This window comes from Homo sapiens, chromosome 3 (assembly GCF_000001405.40).
Source record: "Homo sapiens chromosome 3, GRCh38.p14 Primary Assembly".
NCBI lineage: Eukaryota > Metazoa > Chordata > Mammalia > Primates > Hominidae > Homo > Homo sapiens.
In genome coordinates, this window is record NC_000003.12 from 196,637,525 (window position 1) to 196,639,330 (window position 1,806).

Genomic DNA, 1,806 nt, shown 5'->3' on the forward strand with positions numbered 1-1,806 from the left:
GCTTTAAGCAGAGAGTGAGATGACCCAATACACATTTTAGAAAGATGCCCGTGGCAGCTAGGTGGAGTTGACATTGGACAGGGATGAGATTAGGGGCAGGGAGCGAGTTTCAGGAGGCTATGAAAGTGGTCCAGACATGAGCTGATGAGGTCTAGACCCAGGGCAACAGCCTAAGGATGAAAAGCAGGTTGGATTCCAGAAACATTTCTGAGTTAGAATCAGCAGGAATTGGGGGTCAATTAGATATGAAGGATGAAGTCTGTGAGGGCTGGACTGCCTGGGCTGAAACATACCGTAAAGTGTGACAGCCATACAGGAGAGAAACTGCTGGGACAAAGGATAAGAGTTGAGTTTGGGGCCAGGCACAGTGGCTCATGCCTGTAATCCCAGGACTCTGAGACTGAGGTGGGCGGATCACCTGAGGTCAGGAGTTTGAGACCACCCTGGCCAACATGGTGAAATCCCATCTCTACTAAAAACACAAAAATTAGCTGGGCGTGGTGGTGGGCGCCTGTAATTCCAGCTACTTGGGAGGTTGAGGCAGGAGAATCACTTGAACCTGGGAGGCAGAGGTTGCAGTGAGCTGAGATTGCGCCACTGCTCCAGCCTGGGTGACAGAGCAAGACTGTCTCAAAAAAAAAGAGAGAGAGTTGAGTTTGGGATACATCATGTTATGGTGACTCTGGGACATGTAGCAGTTGATTGACCAGTAGACAGTTAAAAATGCAAGTCTGGATCTTCTCTCGTGGAAGAGAATGTTGGAGCTAGAAATTAAAATTGGGGAGTTACCAACTGATTGGTAGACACAAAAGACATGAAGTAGAGAATGTGCATACAAGAGAGAAAGAGGCCTGAATCAAGCACCTGGGTTTGCAACAATTTGATCTTTATTTAGCTTTTTCATTGGTGTGATTGTTATTACCATTATGAGATAATATTTTATTTTTAAAATTATTTTTATTTTTTTAAAGACGGAGTCACACTCTATCACACAGGCTGAAGTGCAATGGCGTGATCTTGGCTCACTGCAGCCTCAACCTCCCTGTGCTCAGGTGATCCTCCCACCTCAGCCTCCCAAATAGCTGGGACTACAGGTGCGTGCCACCAGGTCTGGCTAAGTTTTAAATTTTTTGTACATATGGAGTCTCAGTATGTTGCCCAGGCTGGTCTTGCACTCAGGCGGTCCACCTGCCTTGGTCTGCCAAAATGCTAGGATTACAAGCCTGAGCCTCTGTGCCCGGCCATGAGTGAATATTGTAGAAAGCAGAGACAATGTGCCAGATGTTTGGAGTGAAAAGGACTTGGCTCCTGTTCTCTTAGGATGGACAATGCTACACACAATCCCAAATCACAGGCTATAAGAGAGGTGACCCAATCCTGCAGGACAGTTCAACGTTTCAGATTTGAAGGGGAGTGAGAGAGATCAGAACTGGAGGCCCCTTGTCTGAGCCCCCGACTATGGTGGTCCACGTCACTCCACACGCAGCAGGCACTGTAAATATTTCACCTTCTCTAGACGACAGTAGTTCCTCGAGAACAGGAGCGCTGGGGTAATGCATATGAAGCTCTTAGCACAGTGTCTGGCGCTGCTTCAATGATGGCTATATGATCAATTATTCTTACTCCTTTGAATTCTTGGCAAGAGCTGGCAGGGAACTTTGTACACATCAGGTACAAAAAAACCCATCCGCGCAGTCTAAGATCAAGAAGCTCTTGGCACTCTCTGACAGTCCTCGACAAAGCAATTCCCCTTCTTTCTAACACAGGGTCCGTAAAGGAGATGATCCACAAGGACCGGCTGAGTGG